General features: G+C 39.4%; 1 protein-coding gene across 18 annotated transcripts in view; it reads left to right on the forward strand.

The window, feature by feature from the left end:
- SUGCT (succinyl-CoA:glutarate-CoA transferase) overlaps nt 1–27,332 on the forward strand; it is a 903,812-nt gene that overhangs the window by 468,533 nt on the left and 407,947 nt on the right. The window contains exon 13 of one of the 18 annotated variants that reach the window (XM_017012622.3): nt 1,990–9,375. The exons of the other annotated variants lie outside the window; for them this stretch is intronic. Coding sequence (XP_016868111.2) covers nt 1,990–2,187 — 198 coding nt within the window. The 3' untranslated portion in view covers nt 2,188–9,375. Of the gene's footprint in view, nt 1–1,989; nt 9,376–27,332 lie in introns of those variants that run through there. 18 annotated transcript variants of the gene reach the window in all.

Raw genomic sequence — 27,332 nt, forward strand, 5'->3', positions numbered from 1 at the left:
GAAAGTAGGATAGTACTGATAAAATCTCAAATCCCTTGAGATTTTATTCTGGATTTAGATGGTTCTCAGCCTTATGGTCTGCATAAATAGTAGCCCTTAGCATTGTTCAAGGCATGAGGCCCTGGGTTTAGGGTGTAAGTCAAGTGGACTAGAAATGAGAAAAATTCCCCTTCTTATTTGGTATGTCCTGCTTTTCAAAAATAAGTTAATGATCTTGCCATGCCCTATCATAATTAGTAAGCATGAAATTTAATTTGACATTTCATGTTTGATATGCATAAACTTGCCCCACTATTTTCTATTTCTAGAATGATCTTCCCAACATGCAAATCTGCTCATGTCATTCCCCTGTTTAAAATTCCTCAGTGGCTTCTCGTGAGTTTAAGATATAGATAATATCCTTAGCGCTATTTACAGTGAGTTACACCAACCTTCATCTTTCATTATCCCCAGTCCCCACTTTGTTCTTTAGCCCATCCTGAGGTGGCCACCATTTTTCAGTAGCCATGTTCCCTCCTGCTTCTAGACCTTTGCATAGGAGTGGGGGAGGTTCCTCAATGTGGGGGTAAAATTCCGGGCAGGCTTCTCGTTTCTGTGCTTGAGGCATATTTTGAAGGAAGAAAAAAAGTATTTTGTGACATCTTTCTGAGTGTTCGCCCGAGGCCCTTGCTATCTCCTCCCTCTTAACAAGTTTCATGATTAACAGAGCAGACAAGCAATCTCCCTGCAAGGCCTATGATGGTCCCTTGCTTTTCTCAGAAAAAGCGTGGGAACTTGTAGGTTTCCTTGAATGTTACATGAATCTGCTTGGTTTATTTTGTATTTTTAATTTTTTCTTTCTAGATCACTGGCCCTTCCTCTTACATAGATCAACAGAAGCATCTGTTTTTAGAATGTGAGAGGATGTCATGTTTTCGCTCCTCTTCTACAAGCTCATTAAGTATAAATAACGTATTTAGGTGAAGGACTTTATGCCATTGAGCCTTTTAATAGACTAGTGATCTTAACGTTACACTTCCGATGCCTAAGATATTTAAACCAAATCAGTAAGAGTAGAGAGTCATTTTCATTCAGTTTGGGGACAGGGGCCTATTGAAAACCCCCACCTTGATCGTCCCTTATTCACTTACAGAAAGAAAGAATTAGAATGTAGGCTATAGCCAGTTTAGGGTGCTTTCTGTCACTGTAAGGCCAAGTAGGAGTGAGTTAAAGCTTCCTTTTCCAAGAAATCATCACACTCCTGAGTGAAGAGCCTCACCTTTGCCCTCTCCCTATTTGCTCCCAAACGGGTTTGCCTGAGAGCTTGAGGTTCACTAACACCTCATTGTGAGTGGGAAGAACAGAACAGAATGCCAAGGAGCAGGCAAGGACAGGAGGTCAGCACGCTGACCCGGATTCAAAGGCTTGGGTTTGTTGAACAACTTCACCCAGTCCTGCCAGCCCGCTTTGATGGCCGGCGTTGCACGGTATTGGGGGCTGTGTGCCCTCTGCTGGGCAGAGCAGCACACGCGTCCGCCTCTCAGCGCCTGGCTTAAAGAATTTCAAGCTTTTGCTAACACGGGGGCAGATTTTCCTCTCAGGAGTGATGCTCTACCAGCATAAGACGATGGCCATGGAAATACAGCCTTGAGTTATTTGGGGAAATTTTATGTCAAAGAAACAAATGATAACTTACTTTATGTTTTACTCCAATCAACTTCAGAGCCACCAGTTTCCTTTCATCGTGGAATGGGGCTTTACATTTGCTCTGATGACATTCAGTTCAGTGGCACAATACACCAAAGTGTACGTCTTTATGTTCACAGACACAAATGGACCCACACAAAGAATTACCTAGTAACTCACTCTTTCCACTCAAGATATTCCGTGTTTTTTTGGAGAATACAAGATTTGGCATATTTGTGTGGCTTTCCTTATGTTTAACATAGCTCTTTCTAAAATCAAAGCCTTAAAATCTATTTGGATTTGATTCATTCATTTATTTTTCAGTCACTGAACAGACATGAATGGGCACCGACTATGTACCTGCCATTGTGTAGGGCTGTAGAGAGCAGTCAGAAATGGAGGAGAAAAGAGAATACCTACAATCTTGAGAAACTCCGTCCAGAGGAGAACTTAAAAAACACACTAATAAAGGAAGATATTAATTGCGAGGGAAACACAGAGATGGGAATAACAACACTATGAAGGGGTAGGAGTTAGGATCTGCTCTGCAGGCTGGTGAGAGGTAAGTATTAAAAGATATTTGTATGTTTGAAAGATACTTGTATGTTTGCCAGTAAGACAAGTTTGGGCGTGGCAGATAGTAGATGGTAGAAGAAATGGTGTGTGTGTGTCTCACAGGGCCTTTTGAGAGGCTGGAGTCCAAGGAGTGGAGCTTGGTGAGAGGTGGGCTAGAGTGGTAGGTTACAATCAGTTTGTGCAGTGCCTTGTCTAGCATGCTGAGCAGATTGCATCGTATTCAGTCGGAGAAGGCAAGTCGTTGAACGACTGTCACTAGGAGAGTGTGAGGGCTGCTTTTCATTTTAGAAACATCTCTCAGGAAGGTAGTGGATGGATAGAGGGTAGAGGAATGTCAAAAATAGCAACAGGAAGCTGTCTACCTTCTGTTGGAGCAGAAAAGACAAAAGAAGAAGGACAAAGAGAGTGGGGCTCCTGGAGAAAGGATTAACGGGAAAGCTTTCTAAGAGGCAGAAAGTTGATTGAAGGTGGAGGATGACAAAGAAGGAAGCATTGAAGAAGACTGAAAGTGTGGATGACACTGATAACAGGATGAGCTGAGAAAGGTTTGGTGCTGCAGTCGTGAGTTTCACTTTGGGCATATGGAAACTGAAGCGACCACGTGTGAGGATACCCACTACACAGATGGAAACAGGGTCTTCAGCTCAGAGAGAGAAAATGCAAAAGGGCGAGATTTGGGATCCTAGAGCATCCAGGAAGCGTCTTTGTGTGGAATACAGGGGAATAGAGGCAAATGGAGCCTTTCCTTGTTTCCTGCTTCCCTTTTACTTAGGAGATTAAAGTGACAGTTTCATTAACTGCTTTTACCACATTAAACATTGTTGAGGATTTGGATTTGGGTAACATTTTGTCTTAATAAGAAACCTACTAAAAAGTAAGTTTTTCAAAAAATGTTTTACTCTTACATGATCAAGTCTTTATCATGGAACCTGTCAGCGTTAACATCTAGGATTTAATGTCAACCAACGTAAGCTTTTAAAAAGCCATATTAAATCAGAAATGACTTAAAAATAAACTCTAGATGAACTTGATCTATTTAAGTTAAAGGATTAAGTTATATACATGATGGAGCATCAGAGATTGAGTCCTTTTTGGGTGGGCCTTGGAAAGGGAAAATGCAGAAAGTTCTAATTTGTTTTGCTTTCGAAGAAGAATCATCCTTTTTATGTATTCATATGCATAATTTGATCAGAAAAATGCTTGATATTCTAACCTTTTAATTAGGAGGGAGGAATGTAGAGATCATGTTGTAAAATTGTTTTCCAGGTGAGGAATCTGTGCAATAAATTTGAGAAACACTGAAGGCTTTATTGTATGCTTTTTCTGGATTTTTTTTTTTTTTTTGAGACAGAGTGTCACTTTGTCAGCCAGGCTGGAGTGCAGTGATACAATTATAGCTCACTACAGCCTCAACCTCTGGGCTCAAGTTATCCTCCCACCTCAGCCCCCCAAGTAGCTGGAACTATAGGAATGCACCACCACACTCAGCTAATTTTTAAATTTTTTGTAGAGACAGGGTCTCACTATATTGCCCAGGCTGGTCTCAAACTCCTGGGCTTAAGTGCTTCTCTCACCTAGGCCTCCCAAGTGCTGGGATTACAGGTGTGAGCCATCACACCTGGCTGAATTTTATAATTTACCTTGTGACATTGAAGACTCTGAGAAGTTCTGCAGGAACCTAGCGTTTCCCAGTCTTATTTGATGGCCAACCCAGTATTTCCCAGAGTTTGGATGATGTTACTTTAAAAGTTACCTTTATAATTAAGTAGAGCAATGTAAGTGTTCAAGCTTTTAGCCACAGAGCTCAGTTCAATTAGTAAACATGTATTGAGCTCTTTTATCATAGTTACCCTGTTAAGTCCCCAAATCATGAAGATTATTCATAAAACAATAATAATGACAACAATAATAGTAGCTAAGACTTGTTGAGTGCATACTAGGTGCCAGGAAATTTACTAAGCATGTTGCATACACCATCTCATTTAATCCTCACAACTCTGGGAGAAAAGTATCCATTTTAGAAAAGAGGAAATTCAGACCCAGAGAGGTGAAGTGCTTTTCCTAAGGCCATAGACCTAGTGAATTACAGAACTGGGTTTTAGACATGTTTCTACCTGATACTGCTGCTCACATTCTTAACTACCATAGCCCTGTCTATGGAGAATTTATGGCCTCAATAATGTCCATGAATATTTCCAAGATGGGCTTCAGGTATTTTGACTTGAGGGTCTTCAACCTGTGAGTTCTATTATTAGTTTCTGATATTCTGCATTACCCTGAAACGTCTTCCTAATTTAGAACCAAGGTAGCCCCTTTCTCTCTGAATCTGAAGCTCTTTGTATCAAACAGCCTTTTGTTGGGATGTAGTATCTCGTTTCTTCCACATTACGTAATGTAACATACATGAAGTAGATCAGGATATAGCTAATTTACAACTTTCCTGCATCGTTCCTGAATGTTCCTTTTTCATTTTTTTAAGTGGGAAAAATGAACACTATATTTTAAATCTTCCTTATACACTCTAGGCAATACTTAAACATTTAACTCTTAGCAATTTGTGTTTTTAATGGAATAGGGTTTTCCTTTTGGGTCATTTTCGTAGGGTAACTTTGGTTGTCCAAACATACTCTGAAATACGTTGGGGATTATGGTTTCAACACATGTAAGCCTAAGGCCAAAGTATGAGTAACACATGATATTTTGTTACATTTCATGAACAAACCACTGTTTTGTGGTATAATACAAAACATAGCTAAGTAGTTTAGATTACTATCAGGCATTACAAGGTTAGGTTTTCAATTTATGGGATTACTCAAAGCTCATTAGAAGTATTTTCTCTAGCTCTAGGGAATGCAGCCTAGAAAATAGTGGTTTCCCTTGTGAAAACGGTGTGTTTTTAGTCCATTTATTATATTTTTTAGTTTATCTCAATTATGTCCTTTTGTACTTTAGTACAATAGTTGAATTCACAAATAAGCTTACAAAGTCTGTTTTACCAATGAGCCAAAAATGGTAAAAAGAAAAGAGGGAAAACACATTGTTGTTATTTATTAACTTAAACTGTCTTCAGAATGTCACGGACACTCTGTCAGTGACACTTTTCAGAGCAAACCTACTGTGATTGGTAGAACAGCTCCGAGTTGTAGTTCTGTCTCTAGCATACACTACAATGCCAGTTTGTCTTTCTGATTTTTTTTGGTTTTCTCATTTAGAAAAATGGGCCTAGTATCCTGTATTCTGCTATGTGAATGTTCTTTCAAGGTATGCTAGGAATAACATGAGCTTTGCAATTACATATAAATGGGCTCCTATTCTCTTGCTGTATGTATCTGTGATCTCGAGCACATTATTTAACCTCTTTGAGCCCTAGTATCCTTATCTGTGAAACAATGATAATGGTAGAGTGTACATGATCGGATTATTGTGAAGATTAACTTAGGTTCATGTAAGTACCAGAGACCAGGATGGATGCAGGGTAGCTTCTCACTGCATGGGAAGTTCTCTCCATTCTTCCTTACAATAGAAATATGATTATCCCAGCACTTTGGGAGGCCGAGGCGGGCGGATCACGAGGTCAGGAGATCGAGACCATCCTGGCTAACACGGTGAAACCCCATCTCTACTAAAAATACAAAAAAATTAGCCGGGCGTGGTGGCGGGCACCTGACGTCCCAGCTACTTGGGAGGCTGAGGCAGGAGAATGGCATGAACCTGGGAGGTGGAGCTTACAGTAAGCAGATTGCACCTGGGCAACAGAGCGAGACTCCATCTCAAAAAAAAAAAAAAAAGAAAAAGAAATGTGATTATCACTTTATTCTTTCACACACTGTTTCTTAACTTTTGTTTACATATTGGTACTTCAAAATTGCACTGAAAACTCTTAAAAAAATAACAGCAAAACAACAAATGGATTGTGACTATATAGCTGATACCTGAAGAATTGGGCCGAATCCGATCCAGCACATGTTTACTGACCTTTTGCTTTGCATAATGCATTGGAGTAACAAATGATCTCTTTCTGAGTTCTTGATAAGTCGACATTTCAAAACGCTAAGTGATTTGTTTTTTGATTTTTTTTAAGCCAAATCAGAATGCATTATAGGCCATTACTTTCAAATTTTCCTTTATAATGGAGTAGAGCAATGTAAGTGTTCAGGCTATTAGCCACAAAGCTCAATTCAGTTAGTTAACATTTATTGAGCTCTTGGTATTATAGGTGCCATGTGAGGTTCCCAAACCACAAAGCTTGTTCATCAAATAATAATAATAACAATTATTTCTTTTGGTTTAAAATGGAAACACTGACCATATTTTAAAAACTGAAGTATTGTCTCGTCTGCAGGACACCACTTCCTTCTGGAGTGGCTTGGGGCCTAAGGGAAAGGGCAGCAGCCATTGCTCTGGAAGGGAAGTGTGAAGGAAAACCTTCATGTAGCATCCGCATGTAAGTCTTAAGTACACCCACATTAAGGAAATATTTATACATGTAATTTTTGAATAATCATTTACATCTGGGTCTCTATCTGCAATCCCTTTAACTTAATTCTTGCAAACCTTTTCTCTTCTTGCTTTGACTACCAGGAAGCTTAAAACAGAATCTGTGGCCCAATTATATTAACTTTGTGATATATTTTTTAGCTTGGGTGTTATTTTTCTTGGTCCTGATTTTTGTGGTGTGTCTTTTATTTTGTTGTCTATTAGTGAGTGATAAAATTTGTTGAGTAGGGAAGAGCATTAATATAATACATAAGTCAGAAAAAAATTCTAGGAAAACATTTTGCTAGAAGAGAGCTAGTTCTCAAATGATTCAGACATTCGACTTGTAACGCGTAATGGTTCAACTTACACCTCATCTGCTCCCCCTTGGAAACTGCATTTGTTTTGGCAAAGCCAAAATTGAGTGTTTAGAAATGGGGTGTTCTGAGAAGAAACCAGCAAATCCTAGTGATTCTGGACTGCCCTTGGAATCCCAGTGCTGGTTTGAACAATAATCCTGATTTTTAACAGCTTATTATGTGTGGCTCCACTTTGGGCCAAGGGAATTTAGTTGTGTTTAAGACTTCGAATTCCATCATGAACTTTGGTCTTGCCTCCTGTCAGTTTAAGATTAATTATGGTAATTCTCAAAGCAACTGAATGTGTGTCAGAATTTCTATCTGGATCAGCACTCCTCCTCTGATCCAGAACCCACGTCTGGGGAGGCTGGGTAAGGAAGTGGAATTAGGGGAAAGGCATGCATTTTAGACATTTCCCCTGAGTGTGCTTGGTTCTGACTCCAGGCCTTGTCTGCCCACTGTTGACGGTAACTTCTTGTACATTTGCTGTACATTTCATGGTTCACTCATACAGTTTTTTAGTCAGGGTGCATCAGATTTAGTAATATGTCTCCAGAATAACCATATGCTTTGAGGTATATTTCATTTTCCAACACTGAAAATGAAAGAGCTATTAGGCTATGAATCTGTAAACAGTCAGTCGTTCCCTGTGTAAAGTAAAATGAATTATCATAATTTATTAGCAAATTCAATTTTCTTTGAAGTGCTAGTTGTATTTTCAGGCTGCATCATAATGGTTAGTAATGACTCATTTAAAATAATACCCTAGGAAGTTTTCCATTTTAGATTATTAATGGTGGGGCATGATTGAAAGAGGAACAAAACATACTGAATGACTGAATGTCCTTTCACAAACTTCAGGAAATAGGGTTACTGGATCTTCATGTGGAGTGTTGCTTTTATTTTAAATCAAATGTGATCTCTACACCATGTGCCCCATTTCTTCTCTTGGGTTAATAATTCTCTCACAAGATATACTGAGTTAGGTAGTAAAATTGCATAGTAGTGGTAGTAGTAACAATAGTACTCCTAGTAATAGCTAACTCTTTTTGGGTATCTGCCAAGCTTTCTTCAAAGTACATTACGTATATTAGCTCACTTAAAACTCTTTGTCCTGTGAGTCAAACTTTCTTATTATCTCCATTTTATAATCCTATTAAGGCAGGCATTTTTATTATCCTCATTTTATAGGTAAAGAAACTGAGACATAGACAGGTTAAAGAAGTTACCCAGGGTCACACAGCCATTGAGTAGAACAGCTGATATGATCTGTGCAGCCTGTATGCAGAGCTGCTGCTGTAACCACTATCACAGAGCTGTCTTCTAGTCATTTTTATTGTTAATATTTTATAAATTTATGTCTCATTAAAGCACTGTTAAAAACTTTGATTCCCCCCCCTTTTTTTTTTTACAACAGATCACTGATTAGTAACAACATTCTTAAATTACAATAATGATCCTCATAATGTGTTATGCAGTTTATTTCTATGTTCATGATGTCTCTTGTGGCTAGCATTTATGGATAGGCCGTTTTTCAAAGTACTTTATATCTGCGAGAACCTTTAGTCCTACTATTATTTAGGTAATATTAGATAACAGTCTCTTCTTCATACGTTGTTGTGAGAATTAAATATGTTCATCTATGCAAAGTGCTCTGGAATATGTGGCTCATAGTAAGTGCCCTGGAATGCTGATCATTATGATCCATATGTTACAGCTGGGGAGGCTGAGACTTTAGTGAGGTTGAATACTTGCTCGCAGGCCCTTACCCACTTAGAGACAGAGCAAAGCTTTGAACTCGTACACTTGCCCTCTAGAGCCCACACCCAGCCACCACACAAACAAGAAATATCAGGACCTTGTCTTTGTTTACTTTGGCAAACCAAAGCTTTTGTTTAGCTTACAAGAAGCAGCATGGTATCAAGATTAAGAGGACAGAGTCTGGAGTCAGCCTTCCTAGATTGGAATAGCATCACCCTCCTTCCTTGATAGCTGTGCAGCCTTGGGAAATTTACCTCAACTCTCTGTGCCTTTTCTCATCTGTATAGTGGGAATAATTACAGCTTGTATCTCACAGGTTAGCTATGAAGATTAAATGAGAAAAACCTGCAAAACTTAGTACAGTATCTGGCATATGGTAACATTCAAATAATATTAGCTAACATGATTATTAGAATTGTATTTGCATTTCTTAAATATATTTTGAATTTTAAAGTCACTGCTTAAATCCTTGGAGCCACCAGATGCGGTGGCTCATGCCTGTAATCCCAGCACTTTGGGAGGCTGAGGCTGGTGGATCACTTGAGGTTAGGAGTTCGAGAACAGCCTGGCCAACATGGTGAAACCCCGTCTCTACTAAAAATACAAAAATTAGCTGGGCATGATGGGGGATGCCCATAATCCCAGTTACTAGGGAGACTGAGGCAGGAGAATCGCTTGAACCCAGGAGGCGGAGGTTGCAGTGAGCCGACATCATGTCACTGCACTCCAGCCTGGGCAATGAAGCAAGACTCCATCTAAAAAAAAAATCCTTGGAGCCAAATTCAACGATACTCTTATATGCCAGACTCCCCCTGAGAGTCTGTATGTGTGAAGCCTCTTACTTCGAAAGACTGTGGGGCTGTCATAGCAGGGTTTTGGTGGGGGCCGTCACCATGAGGCTGCTTTCACAGCTGGAGTCGCTAAAAGGGGCACGAAGTGAAGATGCCCTAATGATCTGCATGGCCACATTTGTTTCGGGCACTCAGAAACTGTGTTTAGACAGTTTATTCTCTGATTATGTGTGGAGTTAGACTTCACTTAGCTCCATCATGACTTTGTTTTCCCCAACTGGGATAGATGGAGGAGACAGAGAGATAAAGAGCATAGGCAGTGGCTTCTTGACATTAGTTTTCCTCATCAGAATTCTTTTATTCTGGAAAGATGAGCTCAATGGTGTAGTCTTCTTGCAACAGCTGACACACACATTTGCTCTTCCTTCCCAGTCTTATCCTGCACCCAATTTTTTTTTTTTTTGAGATGGAGTCTCGTTCTGTCACCCAGGCTAGAGTGCAATGGCACAATCTCAGCTCACCGCAACCTCCGCCTCCCGGGTTCAAGCGATTCTCCTGCCCCAGCCTCCCAAGTAGCTGGGATTACAGGCGCCTGCCACCACGCCCAGCTAATTTTGTATTTTTAGTAGAAACGGGGTTTCTCCATGTTGGTCAGGCTGGTCTCCATGTTGGTCGGTTTGATCCGCCCTCCTCGGCCTCCCGAAGTGCTGTGATTACAGGTGTGAGCCACCACGCCTGGCCTGCACCCAGTATTTCTAACTACATAGTAGTGCATACTATGGGTTACAGTTTGAATTTTATTTTCAAGTTATTTCTGTCATGTTTCGAATGTCATATCTGTGCTAATTCGTATGTCTATGGTTTTTAGTCTCCACTCTCTGAAAGCCTACCATTTAATTCAGGGAATTACCCTGAGGTCAGGGTAGAAGATAAGCCAAAAATTATAAACAACCCCAAGGCTGTTTTTTTTTTTTAACTACATTATCCAATTGACTTTGAAGAATGTTTCTTCATTTTTCTTGCTTTCCCTAAATTTTGTTGAGTTCTGCATTCGAGAAGAGGACACATTCTTGTGTGTCTATAGCCAACTTCCCCAGTCTGTTCTGTATAAAGCAAGTCAGAGGATGTTAATACATGCTCTGCTAAAGACATGTACTGCTTTATGTTAGTTTGGGAACCACCAGCACATACAATGTAAGCAGGCTTCTTTTCTGCTGGACTTTGAGAATCCTTTGCTAATCCAATGTAGGTGTCTGTCTCCAGGAGGAGACAATCATATGCTGACATCTTTATTTCTTGCAGCATCTCACAAAGTCAGTGTCAGAGGACCATGCTTTGGGAAATGTTAGTTTATGCAGTAGTCATTGCTATAGATGGAAATAGGGAAAGGTGCACCAGCTTAATGGTAGTTGTGCTGTTTTTTTTTAAAGATTAATGAGGCCATACCACAGTTTATTAAAAACAAACACAAAATTGTTGAAATCAGAACTTAGGAAAGTGTTTTTCTCCTGTATTGAAAATAAAGAGGAAAATGATAAAGGCCATACTACTCAATGGCTGTGTGACCCTGGGTAACTTCTTTAACCTGTGTCTCAGTTTCTTTACTTATAAAATAGGGATAATGTGGCTCACGCCTGTAATCCCAGCGCTTTGGGAGGCCAATGTGGATGGATCACCTGAGTTCAGGAGTTTGAGACCAGGCTAACATGGTGAAACCCCATCTCTACTAAAAATACAAAAAATAGCCGGGCATGGTAGCAGGTGCCTATAATCCCAGTTACTTGGGAGGCTGAGGTGAGAGAATTGCTTAAACTTGGGAGGCGGAGGTTGCAGTAAGCCAAGATCACGCCATTGCCCTCCAGCCTGGGCAACAAACCAAAACTCCATCTCAAAAGAAAAAAAAAAAAGAAAGAAAAAAAGAAAATGATAAAAATTTAAAAAGAATTTATTTACAAACACACTGCTAATTCTATATTGAATGCTGAATCCACCACAAATTTGATCTAATAACATACAGATTCCATCTATAGTCAGATTGATGAAAGATCACCCAGGGAACTACAAGCTCCTCAGTTTTCAAAGATTTTTTTTCTTTAAACAAATGTCGCAATACAATAAATATAGATTAACAAGCAATTTTTTTAACACAGATTTTAACAAAAATGTTTTCTGGACATTCCCACCTACCCAGAAAACCATTTTTCCAGAACCTCTCAATCCCAGTAAATAAAATTGTTTATTGTGGTGTTATGTTAATTCATGCCCTTTAATTCTCAAGTGAGAAAAAAATTTATTTTTTGCTATCAAGATAGGAACCTAGAAGGATCCTGAGCAGAAAGTCAGAAGGCCTTGGTGACCTTGTTAAATACAGATCACCATGCCTCTTACAGAATGGGTACCCAACACATCGCTGTAGAATGGACTTTTTCTGCCTGAGCTCATCTGCTGTTCAGTGGAGAAGTTGGGCAGAATACATGATCTCCTAGGTTCTTTCAGTCATGGAAATGTGGGATCCGTGGTATATTGTGGTTATTCAATTGTTTAGCGAAAACACAAGGATCATTTAGGAGCAAATAAAATTTTTGTCTTTCTATGTGTAATCATAAGCCCAAGTATAAGCTTTAATTTTAAGAAATGGGGCTTCCCACCTTCTTCTGCTTCATCCTCCTGGTTGTGTGTGCCATGGATTCTTATGTGCCCCCTTCACTGCATGGAAAGTAAAATAAGTGATTAAGAAGAGTTTGCTCTCCATTTTGAAAGACACCTATACCATTTAATATGTTTAATAATATTACGGTTTAATTAATGCATTTATCTCTTGGAAACATCACCTGTTTCTTTTCCCTCAGAGGTCTCTATATTTTTTATTTCAGGATCACTACCTAATGTGAAAAATAGCATAAATATATGACTGGAGAATGTGGTTAATAATTATTGAATGACTATTATGTGCCAGATACTGAACAATGTATTTACATGTGTTTTCTTCTTTATTCTTTGAAGAAACCAGGAACTAGGTATGTTAAAGTAGTTTTTTTTTTTCTTTTTGAGATGGAGTCTTACTCTGTGGCCCAGGCTGGAGTTTAGTGGTGCGATCTTGGCTCACTGCAACCTCCACCTCCTGGGCTCCAGCCATTCTCATGCCTGAGCCTCCCAAGTAGCTGGGATTACAGTTGTGAACCACCACGCCCAACTAATTTTTGTGTTTTTAGTAGAGACGGGGTTTTGCCATGTTGGCCAGGCTGACCGCAAGTGATCTACCCGCCTCAGCCTCCCAAAGTGCTGGGATTACAGGCATGAGCCACCACGCCCAACATTAAATTAGTTTTATACATGAGAAAATCAAAGCGAAATAAAGCTAAAGTGGTTTGCCCAGGATCCATATGCTAGTAAATGATGCAATAGGAATGCAAACCTAGTTATCCTCAGAGACAAAGCAAACTATTTTGGGGAGTAAGTAGTCCACTTGAAGTGCATGGTGGATTGTGGGACCATGGAACGAGTGAAACAAGGAAAGACTCTGAAGGTGGCCATAAGGACTATTGTCCTTCACTCAGGGAGAAGTCCTGTTGGGGAACAGTCTTCAATAGAAGTGGGGTTCAGTCCCCTTCCCACCTTGCCCTCCAAGGGGAATGGAGGCCTCAAGTAGCATTTTGGTCTGAATGGAGGGGTCCTGGAGACAACACATTTAACAGCATCTTCTATTTGATTGATGTTGGTTGTCCTGGAAAAGTCTATATTTTCCCATTTGCATGTAAAACCCAGGTATCCAATAAATTTTTCCATTTCAAATTTGAAAAGGTGGTTTTTAGTGGATTAAAGGTCAGGCATAATTATGACTTTTTTCATACTGTGCCACAAGGCAAATAAGTTTTGTCTTATTTTTTAAACCTACACTTTATTTATTAATCTTTTTCTTCTTGTTTAATATTTGAAAAAAAAAATCCAAAGACATTTGCCTCTATTTCCCACTATTTTGAAGAAATCAATCCTAAAGACTGGAATTATGTCTTTGAAAAATGGATGAACACTATTTTAATGTCTAGCTGAAAACCTTTGTCATAAGGGGGCTTAATGAATACTTTTAGATGATCAAGGTTAGATAAAAGCTTTGAGAGGTCATCCAGTCCTAGGCTTTGAATAAGATCTCCTCCAAAGTTTCTGTCAAGCTTGAAGCTTTATACTTTTATGCTATCTGAAGTGTACCGATGAAATGTCTCCTTTTGACATATTTTTGAAGAAGAACTTTGACTCACAGTACAAGAGCTCAGATGTCCAGTAAAATTCTGATTCAACTGGTTAGATTTATATGTGTGTGTGTGTGTGTGTGTGTGTGTGTGTGTGTGTGCATGTTTTCTTACTCGTTGACTTGCTCTTCCAGGAGAAAAGAAATTTAGCTACTTGAAAAAAAGGCACTTAACTTTTATGAATGCCATTATAGAAATAACTTACTGGGATTAAAAAGTGAAATTCTAAAATCTGGGAAGACTTAAAATGTCTTAGAAATTCCATAACTTTCAGATTTTGTCTATAAATTGATTCTAAACACTGAAAACCAATAACTGCATACTTTTTTTTCCAATGGAGAGCTGTGACTATAATTTTTTCTCAAAGCTTTCAGTGATATAACCCTTGTGCTACTCATAAAAAAGCTAAAGAGATTGTTTTTTCTTACATTGTACTGATTGTTCAACATCATGTCTTCCTTCAGTTTTTTCATATGTCATCGACTCTGAAATACTATTTTTCTTTTTGTTTTAATTGCCTTCTACATAATTGAGAGAAAAAAGTATTTTTACTTCACTATAATCCTGTTGCTTAGTCATTATGTATATCCATTTCATTCTTTCTCTAGAAGACATTCTTGGGGGCTTTTTGAATTTTGAGTGATTGTTTTCTAGACCTGTTACACAGCTAATGTTCTGAGAATTATTTTCAAAGAACTCTTAAGTTGGTTTTGACATTCTTTATTACTGCTATCTTTCTTTTTTGATCCTCTCAATTCTTATTTTGTTAGAGTACTACTTGATATCTCTACATGGATGTCTCATAAACATCTCAAATTTTTCTGCTAGTCTTGCTCTACCCACCGTCTTCTGCATCTTTATTTATGGCAAGTCCATCTTTCCCGTTGCTCAGGACACAAATCTTGAAACTACAGTTGACTGTCTCACAGTCCACATCTCACTCAACAGGAATTGCTGTAGCTTTACTGCCAAAATAAGTCAGAACCTAACCAGACTTCTACTGAAGCCATGAGCAGCATCAAAGTGGTACCCATACTACTGTCCTAGAATTGCACATGACCAAGTAACTTTGTTTTCATGACCAAACTGGAACTTGAAAGGAGATATTCAGGCTAGTAGCATGTCTTCATACATTCTGTGTTGAATATGAAATTTTCCCTCTTCGAAGATCCTTGATGGCATTTGCTAGCTATTTTCAAATAATTTAGGGACTGTCAGAAGTAATTTTTGGAGTTCACATGATTTATTATTTATTTGTATAGAAACTTCGTTCATAAGGCACTATACATGATTATCTCATTTGACTTTTATAATTTTTGTTGGTATCTATTTTATCACTGTTTTGCAAGTGAAGAAACTGAGGCTCAGATACTACATTATTTGAGCTAATCTTGTTAATGGTGATGTCTTCAGAATTTAAATCTGATTTTTCTGTTTCTAAATTTTATTTTCTTTCTGTCATTTCTGTCCTCTAGGAGACAGAATTAGGAAACAATTATAAGTCTGAACTTATAGATAGAGGATCCTGTTGAACAAAGATGGACACTCTCCTAATTAGAGCCATCCGATGTTAGAATGTGCTGAAAACCCACCGTCTTTGAGTCACATTCTAACATTCAACACTCCCTACCTCTACCTCCTCTCCCACTCTGGCCAGGAATACTATGGGAGTTCCCCTTTGGCTAGATGACGCCTTCCATATTTTCTTTCAGAGATGAGATTCTATTATTTACAAAGGCCCATGGGCATGTCTGCTTCTGTAAGAACCCATTACATCAGAAATATAACCAGGCCTCTTGCAATCCCATTTTAATAGAACTATTTTAATTAAATAATTGAAACATCTACATTACTAGTCATGAGTACTTCTGCCTTGTTTATTAATTCTTTAATGTTTGTATTATTGTCTTCCATCCTATAGTAGGCCAGTATATTTAAAATGAAGGCTAAAGAAATTTTCTGATAAATAATTGGAAAATATTTTGTTTATTTTACATTGCCAAATGGCATACATCTATTAATTTTGTTTTTTTCCTTCATCTAGAGTACTCACAGTTTTTATATTAAAATCTAAATGAAGCAAATAATTTCTGCCAATTTTATGATTGAATTTTTTTGTTTGACAGTTTTTATATATTAATAATGCATGGCCTTTCCATCAGCTTTACAATTTTTGTTTGGGATTTTTTAATATGTGGGAGAATATATTTTTATTATATAGCTTTTAAAATCTGATACAGGAATAAAATTCACTTTAGTTTTATGAATACACATGAAGTAATTCCTATCTTTTATCTCAAAGTTTTTTCAACCCAGTAAAGCCATTTAAAACTTTTTTCCCTTCAGATTCATTTGTGATGTCATTTGTTATATCAGCCCCATGTTAAAAGAGGGCTGATAGTTTCCATTAGTGGGCTTATCATACTTTATATAATGTTTCCTTGTCGTATTACTTTCAATTCAGCTTTCAAAGTTATCTACAAAGAGTTTTCACTTTGACTCTGACTTCACACAGCAACAGGATAACTTAGTGGCTTTCCTCTATATTTTACCATTACAATGAGTGAAAATAGCTGATAGTTAGAAATTGTTTGATACTGCCAGGAAGAAAACATGTCCAGTGTCCAATTTCCATACTCATACTTCCATTCTCAAGAATGTGGCAGTGAAGGAATATTCTCCTTTTAGAATTAAGCTGGTCTATATTCAAGCCACGGTGTGCATGATGTCAGGGATGTACCTTACCTGACAATTGTGATCCCCTTGTTGGGGGTATTTACACCTTGGAACCAGCAAATACTAAAGATCAGGACTCTCCTATCACCCCAAAGAGCCATTTGTTAAACATTTACCAGCACAGCACTTGTTCAAGCACATTGAATTTATGTTACTTTGCTCAAGATATTTAACCTCAAGATATTTAGCCTCATTTTCTATCTCTATAAAATAGTGGCAAGCTAGTACTCTACCTACATCACTCATTTTTCAATTTGGATCACTTTTTTTTTTGAGACAGAGTCTCGTTCTGTTGCCTAGGCTGGAGTGCAACAGCGATCTCTGCTCACTGCAACCTCTGCCTCCTGGGTTCAGGCGATTCTCCCTGCCTCAGCCTCCTGAGTAGCTGGGATTACAGGCACCTGCCACCGTGCCCAGCTAATGTTCATATTTTTAGTAGAGACGAGGTTTTGCCATGTTAGCCAGGCTGGTTTTGAGCTCCTGAACTCAGGTGATCCATCCACCTGAGCCTCCCAAAGTGCTGGGATTACAGGGGTGAGCCACCACGCCCGGCCAATAACTCTTAACATAGTATGGTACTTAGCATTTGGTGAATGGCCATAATAATAATGAGACTGATAAAAATTATCATTTCAAACACAAATAGATTGTTAAGTGTTAATTTATAGGACTGCTTTCCTCACTGTTAGCTAAATAGCAAGAGGAACAAGTTTGCAAAACAGTAGGGGAAACTTCATCTATCTTTAGGTGGAAATAGTCTTGGTGAGTTTTAACTTACTTTGGTTTAATTCAGATCTATTTTTTGTATTTATCAGAAGGCAAACCACCATGATAAACAGAGAGAGGAGGATGTTTTGCATTTTGTTGCCTGTTTCCTTTTGTTTCTTCTCAGCGAGTAAAACAGTTCTCGAAATAAGCATCAATGTTTTTTTAGCCTGTATTTTTATTCCTTCTATCATCACAGGCTTATTTACTTGCATACAGAATACAAATATTTGTATATACATATATGTATTATTAGTATTGTATTTATTATTGTAGCAGGTTGAGGAATAAATGGGAAGTCAGAAATTGAAGATACACAAGGAAGTCAGCAATTCTAGCCCAGCGAACACAGCAGCAAGAACACTGCTCCCCTGAACTCTGGGGAGCTTTCTTATGTGTGTTATTTTGGTTTCTCCTGTCTTTCTCCTTGTAATGATCAGTGATGGAAATCAGCCAGTGTGGATATTCTTAGAGCTGAGATGCTGAGCTGCTTTTTATTCCCTGGCTTGAGGCTTGAACGCACAAAGTCTCCAGGGAAGAGTGGGTTGGAGTAGCTACCTAAGGAGAAGGAATAAGTTAAATCTCTGGGGCCTTTGGCTATAAAGCAAAGGAATACAGAGTAGGCTGGTGTCGGCCTGCAGATCAGCCCTGAGGCTGATCAGAAGGGGCTCTGGTGAGGTTTTCTGACATATGGAGCAGTTGGAGAAATCCGGTGATAAAAGGAAGAAGGGGGTGTTTCAGTAGCTTGAGGAGAAGGTAACAGGCAAGAGAAAATCAAGGATGCAGGATGTGAAATCAAATGATGGAACTTTCTGGCTTAATGCAGACCATCTGGCTATCTTATCTTTAAACCAATGATTTCTCAGACATTTTTCATCTTATATCTACAATGACCACATGTCCCTGAGTTTTTACGATAGGCCAGATTTCAAATATTTCTGCCCATTGTTAGGCTCTTGGTCCCAAATTGAGATTGGAAAATATGATCATTATTCTTACATTCCCTCCCCCAACTTCTGTTACCTTTGTCACAGGCATTTGAGGCAAGCCCGTGGAAGCCTCCAACTGGTTAACAGCATCGTTAGGCAGCTGTCCACAGCAGTGGGTCTCAAACCTGACCGTGTATCAGAATCATCTGGTGCCATCAGTTAAAATACTGCTTTCTGTGGCACCTGCCTCATCCTTCTAGCCCCAGAAATTCGGATTCATTTGGATGTGAGAGATCTTCAGATTATTTGTGTTTTTAGCAGGTGTCCCATGTGCTCATGAGACGTGTGTCCCTTGGGGCAGGTTTTTGGAAATCAGTGTGCCAATTAGTGCCTTTCACATCTTTATCTGATCATTCAAACTTCTTACAACAGGGCTTCTCATACTTGGGCTTTGACTTAACGGTGATCTTTGAACTTCTGAAACTTGATGATAAATTTGTGAGTATGGGTTCTTCAGCAGTTCCTGGGAGAGGACCTCAGCTTTCATCAAGCTCTCACTGGTGGTAATGCCCAAAACAGTTACAAACCCAAGGCTGCTCGGTCAGCAATATGAAGACCATCCAAAATGTGGAAGCTACTTTTTTCATTGATCTCAGACTTAACTGCCCTCATGTTTGTTGTGGTTGTTTTTTTTTTTTTTTTTTTTTTTCATCTTCTGAAAACTAATTTCTGGCTAAAATTCACACACATATATGCATACTGCTATACCCACCCACTGGTGACTTATTCTTAAAATGATGACTTCTTTCAGACCAGTATTTTCAGTTTTATCAGCCAATAACACTTAATAGGATGTGTGTGTGTGTTTGTGTGTGTGTGTCTGTGTGTGTCTTTGAAGGGTGGCTGGCTGTCGGGGTGGGAAGATCTAATTAGGCCTCACTGTTTTCTCAACCATCCTCTCTTCCCTCTCTCCCTGACTTTCCACATGCATCCCCCAAAACAGGTTCTGAGCCTGTGATACCATGAAACCCCATCTGGTTTAAACCTTGGGCTAATATTCTGCAGCTGTGTTGCCTAAGCTGTAGGGAGACTTTTTCCTTGACAAGCATTTGTGGTTTAGGGAGCCAAACAATTGATTGGAAACTTCAGGGCTATGAGTTCTAACTCTTGGTCTGCTCTGACACAGTGTGTGACCTTGGGCGATTCATTTGATCTCTGTCCAAACTCTCTGATGCTTGATAACAGGATTTTCTAGAAATCTCCCTGCCAGTAAAGACATATGGAACCACTCCTTGGTGCCACAAGGGAAGGCTACACTTCATTATCTCTCAGGCTTTTAACTCTCTTTCTCCATTTGCCCATCTCTCCATGCCAGGGACTCCATAGTTTTTTCTAAGTCTTAGAAACACGTTCCTACTTTTCTTTCCCAAAATACATCAGCAATGCTACTCTATTTCAGTCATCCCCAGGATTTTAGACTTTGTCCGTAAATATTTATCCCATAATACTAAATTACCCAGACTGCTTTGGAACAGGGAATTGTGCAGAACTGGACTCTGCCCTTAATTTCACATGGCTACTGTAAATAGGAGAGCTGCATTTCTCTCTCATTTTTCTGTATTCTACAAGTACAATTTATTGTTTTATGAGCCTCCACAAATCATTTTATACTCCCTCTTCTTTTTAACATCTCCTTTTATAGAAAATTATTAAGTTAATAAATTTTATTAAAAGCAATACAATTCCAAGAATTTTTTTGTAGAAAATATGTACTATTTTAGCTTTTGGACTTCGTTAGAAGATTATTTACTCAGATAATAATCTTAAACTTGCCTTTTAAGTTTTAGGAATGATCACACACATGTGCACGCACATGCACTCATACACACACATACACACACACACATTCCAGTGTGTAATCAATAATTTTTTGGGATGGCATACGAGAGAATTATGTTTTGTAAGCTTTTATAATGACTGGTTCCTCATTTTAGAACAAGGCTGAAGAAATAGAGTTGTAAATATTTCTTTCTTACTTTCTTCTGCTTTCTGCCTCAAGATTCTATGTCTCTCTGGGATACTGGGTTTTGATATTTTAATCACTTTATTTCTGTTAATGTTAATTAAGGGTTCTTGGGCCAAAATACCAAGAAGGGTCAGTATGTGGTTCATAGTAAATCAATCAAATGGACATGCGTTAAACAGGTCATGGGCTAATTTCTGTTGTGTGTCATATGTCAGACAGTCTCTGGCTTGGAGTGATTTACTGGTTACTCTTCCTGGAAGGAGAACGTTGCTTCCCTGGCACTTCCCTCCATCTCCTCCCAGTCCACATGGGGCTGAGACAGAGCACCCACCTCAGGCCTCCTCCCCCAGTATCTTCCTCTTGCTCTAGGCTATCCTCTCCTCTTTCTCCACCAGGACCTTTTTTAGGTAATCGCCAAACTGGAAATGGTTTGATAACCTCATATCTATATGTTATTATTTCTGTGAAAAGGAAGACGTATATTAAAGTAACAGTAATAGTTAACACTTATTTTTAACTCTGTGCTAGTCCTTTTTACAGTACTTAACATGTAATTTTACATTTAATCATCACAATAACCATGTGAAGATGTGTATGCTTATATACCTACTATATATTAATAGATGAAGAATGAAAAAGCATTAAGCCGATTTTCCTAGAATCACAGGATAAGTGAAGGCAATCTGATTTGAGACCTTGTGTGCTTAATTAACTAATGTGCTGATAAGCTGCCTTTTTGAAAAACAGCCAAATGCACCTCTATATGCGGTTTTAAACTGCGATGGTTAGACTCCTATCACGAGTAGAACTGCTCTTTGGATAAAAGGAAAGTCGGGAGTGAGGAAATCAAGTAGGTAGGGCCCCTGACTTCCCTCCTCTGTCTCTGTAAAACGTTTCTGTGCAAACACACACACACACACACACACACACACACACACACACACGCACACCACAAACACGCCAAGCTGAGCAGACCTTCTTTTATCTGTTTTCACAATGGACTTCCAAGTAATGTTTCATTTGAAGAGTTTCTCTGTAAAAAACAAACACACTTTGAAAATGACTGCCTGCTACAACCCCACTTATCATAGTGCATTCTTATCTTTCCCCCCCAGTTGAAAATGCTGATGTAACTCAGATGTTAGCTGAGGTCATCCTTGTCTCTGAGGTCACTCTGTCCTTTGAGATTGAAATAAAATTGCCTCAATCCCCCATTTCATATCTCCTAAAAGGTTCCAATGCCATCCCCCAGATTTCTGCACATTCTCGGACCTATTCTCATGGGTAGTTCTTCCTGGCGAACTCTTGACCTGACTGCATCTTACCTCCTCCGGCTGCATTTTTCTCTGTGCTCCATGCTGACCTAGACGTGGAACTCAATCCTTTTTCCTTAACACGCAACCCCCTTCATCCCCACTTCACTCCCACAGAGAACTGTTCGTGAAGATTTTCAGGGCAGTAGGTGAAGGTTTATATCCCAGCAAAACATTTAAATAGGGTATCAGGATCCATGTTCTTAAAAATTCTGAAGCCACTCTGCCACTGGAAGGTTCTTCTTGACTGCATTATTACGCCTTACCAAGTTGGGCACCCCTCACTCCCTCACCTCCTCTTCCTCCTCTTCCTTCTCCTCCTCTTTCTTTTTCTCCTTGCCATCCATCAGTTCAAAATTCGTCTTCATTTCTTCAGTGAGGCTTTGATTGCTGCTTCCTTCTTACCCATGCCTCCTTGAGCCTCACCTCTTTTACCCCAGGCAACTCATTAGGGTATTTTTCTAAACAAAGACAGTTTTCTCTCCAGGAGAAACTGTGGTGCAAACTATTAAAATAAATTTATTAAGATGAAATCCCCCAGCCCCTGCAACATTAACACAGTATAGCGGATTGGCGGGGTTTAAGCAGGCTGATTAGCAAGCCCCATCAGAAGCTAACTTAAACCCTCACTGTAGAACAGTCAGGGTCCATGTGCAGGACAGGTGAATGATTGATTGCTTTTTCCATGAACAATTTATTAGGAGTGATTTTAAAAAATTAAGCAATTGCTCAGCATCAAGCATGGTGTGAAGCACTTCACATTCTTTATTTAATTGAAATTCACACCCTGTGAAGTACATATTTGTATTTTCTTTTAACTAATGGTAAAAGTTAAGCAATTTACCCAAAAGTCACAGCATTAGAAAGTAGTACAGCCTTTGATAGGCCCTGCAAGGACCCTCCTTGTTCTTAACTACCATACCAGGGCATTCAACCACCTTGTGGCCAAAAGGACGTTCCTTTATCTAAATGTTCCATTCTACCTTCCAGCACTCCTTGACTCCTCAGGAAGCTTCCCCCAGACTCTGTGTTATTTTCCTGCCTTTAAAGAGACTTTCTTTCTTTTTTCTTTCTTTTCTCTCTTTTTTTTTTGGAGATGGAGTCTCACTCTGTCACCCAGGCTGGAGTGCGGTGGTGTGATCTTGGCTCACTACAACCTCCGCCTCCCAGGTTCAAGCGATTCTCCTGCTTCAGCCTCCTGAGCAGCTGTGACTACAGGCGTGTGCCTAATTTTTTTTTTTTTTGTATTTTTGGGAGAGGTGAGGTTTCACTGTGTTAACCAGGATGGTCTCGATCTCTTGACCTCGTGATCCACCCGCCTCAGCCTCTCAAAGTGCTGGGATTATAGGCATGAGCCACTGAGCCCGGCCCAGAGAGACTTTCATAGAATTTTAGGAGTATAGCTATTTTCAGCTTTCTCCTGGGAATGTGTGCTTTCTGCAGGATTCAGGAAAGAATGAAATGTGCTAAGTAAACATTTTTACAGACAATAATGAGAAAACTTATGGGGAATGGGTTCTTGGGGTCAGACAAACACGGGTCCAAATCCTAGTTCTGGGTCTTATTGTGTGTCCTATGCCAAGTTGCTTATCTTTACTGAGCTTCCATTTCTGTATAACATGCACAATCATACCTGCTTCTCTAGCTCAGTGCTTGGCACACGGAAAATGCTCAATAAATACTAGTTCCTTTCCCCGTGCATGTCTAGTTAAAGTTTTCATATCAGCATATTTACCGAGTATTTGTTCAAAACATCAAGTAGTTTCAACACTGCAAGTTGAAGGAAGGCAATATGATGAAAATGTTTTATTTTTCCAGTTTTCCTTATATTTTTATGTGCATTGCAAAGGTATTGCAAAGTGCCAACAAGGGGAGGCCTTTTATCCCACTCCTACTTTTGGTGAAGATTGAAAGGCATGTAGACAAAGAAGAGGATGTGGAGTCAAGACCCATTGTTACTGGTGGAAGGTGTCCAGATTCTTGGTGTTTTGAAGAAAGAATTAGACAAAATGCACAAACAAAGCAAGGAAAGAATGAAGCAACAAAAGCAGAGATGTATTGAAAATGAAAGTATGCCCCACAGTGTGGGAGTGGTCCTGAGCAGCCATTCAAGGGCTGTGGATACAGAATCTTCTTGGGTCCAAATACCTGCTAGAGCTTTCCTATTGGCCATTTGGTGTTCATCCCATGTAAATGAAGTGGTGGCCCACAATCAGTCTGATTGGTTGTGGAAAGCAACCAATCAGAGGCTGAAGTGAAGTTACAAAGGTCACATTCCTACGCAAACATCTGATTGGTTGTGGAAAGCAACCAATCAGAGGCTAAAATGAAGTTACAAAGTTGCACTTCTGTGCAAACAAAGACTTGGCCCACAATCAGTCTGATTGGTTGCAGACAGCAGGCTGAAGTGAAGTTTCAAAGTTACACTCCTATGAAAATATCTGATTGGTTGCAAAAAGCAACCAATCAGAGGTAGTTTCAGTTTCCCATCTGCCTTGCAGAAAAGGTGGGGGTTTGCAAAGGGAGTAGCTTCTGGTCCTTTTGTTACTTAGGCATGGAAAGTTAGGGTTTTCCTTTCAATTTAGTTCTAGGAAGTCAGTGTGAAACAGCCTTAGGTTCCCTGCCTCCAGACACTATTCTCCTGCCTCACCATGACATGAAACTTCTCTGCCAGGGCTAAATGGCAGGAGGGCTCTCTAAATGTGTCTGGCAGGAATTGAGTACAGCATTGACATCCTCAAATTGAAACATGTGGCCTGCATTTATTTGAATATAACAGTTATTGCCTTTTGGACTTCGGGTTTCATGTTATCAATGCTTACTATATTGAGTGGTTTTATATTTAAATGTATTGTGCAGTAGGGTCCCCCCTTATCTGTAGTTTTGCTTTGTGTAATTTTGGTTGCTGAAATCAACTCTAATTGGAAAATATGATATGCAATAAGATATTTTGAGAGAGAGAGACCATATCCACATATCTGTTATTACAGTGTATTGTTATAATTGTTCTATTTTAATAACCTAAACTTTCCACTGGGGTTTTGGGACATATCCCCCTTGGATAAAGGGGACTACTGCAAATGTTTTGTTGTTTAAATAGGCTTATTGAAATGCAAGGTGCTCATCAGAGGTATGCTAGGCGGTTGGATCATTTAGCACCAGTCCAGTGATTTGTCAAATGTCTCCCTCAATAACCATACTCACAAAACATCTACACTGTTCTCGTTTAGAACCACTGGTTTTGTAGCTGTGATTCAGTAATCAGAGTATGCCATTTAAATTGGGGGTTCCTGTCAGGTGGGACATCTAGATCAGGCCCTCTGGCCAGATGAGAGCACACTCAGGAACGCCTGCCATCTTGAATGGAAAGATCTCACCTGACGTTGAATCCTGCTCTTTTCTTAACACCAACAACTGCAAGTTTAAATGAAGTGTGTGTACAAGATAAAATAATGTTCCTCCTTTCAGGTTTTTAATTATCTCTGAAAGTGGATAGCATTCAACGCTTTAGAATTTACTCAGTTTTTGGGTGTGTGTGTTTTGTTCTGTGTGTGTGTGTGTGTGTGTGTGTGTGTTTTAGATGGAGTCTCACTCTGCCACCCAGGCTGGAGTGCAGTGGCACAATCTCAGCTCACTGCAACCTGTGCCTCCCGTGTTCAAGCGATTTTCCTGCCTCAGAGTCTCTAGTAGCTGGGACTACAGGCGTGCACCACCACACCCAGCTAATTTTTTGTATTTTTGGTAGAGATGGGGTTTCACCATGTTGGCCAGGCTGGTCTCAAACTCCTGACCTCAGGTGATAGGATTTACTCTGTTTCAGCATCCTCGTTTTACAGCACTGGTTCCCAAATCTCACTGTCCATCATGCCTGCCAGACTCTTAGGTTCCTCCTCATAGGTTCTGACTGAGTTAACTTGGGATGGAATGCAGGAACCCTGGCCTTTCCAAAGCTCCTTCTTGAGTATTTCAGCGCAGTTCATGCCTATCTTTCAAACAGCTACATACAGCCGACACTTACTAAGCATAATTTATGTGGTTTGAAACAATGAATGATAGAGAAAAACCTGTGTGCTGCTCTTCAAGGCATGTCAGATCTAAATAATTTAGCCAGTCATTAGACATGACAGAATCTGTCACACAGAGTAAGTAATAAACCAGGAGTGAGGGTAGATGCTCTCCCTGAGAGTTGTCAGAGGGTCAGGGGAGACTCTCAGATGAAGAGCTTTGAGGAAAGCCTTGAAAGTAGACTCTGAGTTTGCCTCACAGACAAGAGGCAGAGGGCTTTTAGGATATAGCAATGAAAATAATGTGTGTGGATCTCAAATAATCCTATGTGGCAGGAATAGGGGGCTGGATAACGGCAGGAGGAGGTGGTCAATTTTGAAGGCCATTATAGAGGGAGAATATGTTACTCGAGGTCATGTCATCTGTGAGTAACTGAGATGGGAATAAAGTTAATTTATTTGAGAAGGGGCCAGGGAAAGTTATTGTTCAGAATTAGTGATGAGAGTTAATGACTGCCTCCTCTGTCAGGTTTATGTATTAAGAAATACCAGTTTTTAAATCTATATGTTTTATCCGTATGTAAATTACATGTAACTTTTTGCATATGGATAAATTTTATATTACATGTAAAATTACCCTGGAAGGATAATGTTCATGACTCTTGAAAAGATCTGTTAATCCACAAGAGGAGCTCATTTTGTGACCTGCAGAGTTGCAGTGAGAAGCTACAGGGTTTGAAAGGAGACATTCTAAATTTTTGAGGCCAATTTCATTGGAGAAATAAAAGCCTAGCACTTCAGGAGAGAACGGTTTTGGGGATTACCAGCCTGTATTGCCATTGACTCCTGACTTCTTGCTTCATGATTTTAAATTTATACTAAGGCATGGAACACTCCTCACTTCCTCCTCAACCAGCCAGAGCGATCCTACGCTTTGCGCCTCCCATCACTTCCTCCAAACTGTTCTTTATGCTACAGGGAAACCTGTCTCCTGTGAGCTGCTTTCTCATTTCATCTACTATTTCTCCTTCAGTGATGTTCCTTAGCACAAACCCAAAGTCTTGTAATACCAGCTACGTATGAAGTCACAACACAGAGGGAAGCCCCTGCCCTGCTTCCCGTTGACCCTCTGGAAGTGGGGAACTGGGTCCTTTTCTTCTTCATCCATGGCTTGATTAGTTGACATTATAAAATACCTGCTATCTGCTCACAGTCGCCTGACCCAATGGAGAACAGAGATGCTATTTCAGAAGAAAGAGCGACCAACAGAAAGGATAAGCAGAAACTAAAAAATAGTAGGACCTCTTTTTGTAATATTGTTTTTGGTTAAAAAAAAGATTTTGCCTGTGCATAATGGAATATTGGAACTTAGATGCTATCCTATCTCAGTAAATGGAGAAGAGCACTCTTAGGACATGAGCATAATAAATGTTAAAAAAACAAAAACATGAAGTAACTTTTTCTGACTAACTGTATGCCAATAACTTTCTGAATCCTCATGACAGAAAGACAATATGATACATCTCCTGTCCCCCAAAAGGGCTCTCAGTCTAATAGAAAAGGTAAATTTATAGCAAATACTTTAAAAGTTGTATAATAAAGTATATTCAAGATTCTGAGCTAACACAGTGGGGATTTATAAACTGGTCTGTGTGTCTTTGTGTTTGTGTGTGTAGATGTATAT

Source organism: Homo sapiens, chromosome 7 (genome assembly GCF_000001405.40).
Source record: "Homo sapiens chromosome 7, GRCh38.p14 Primary Assembly".
NCBI classification, from domain to species: domain Eukaryota; kingdom Metazoa; phylum Chordata; class Mammalia; order Primates; family Hominidae; genus Homo; species Homo sapiens.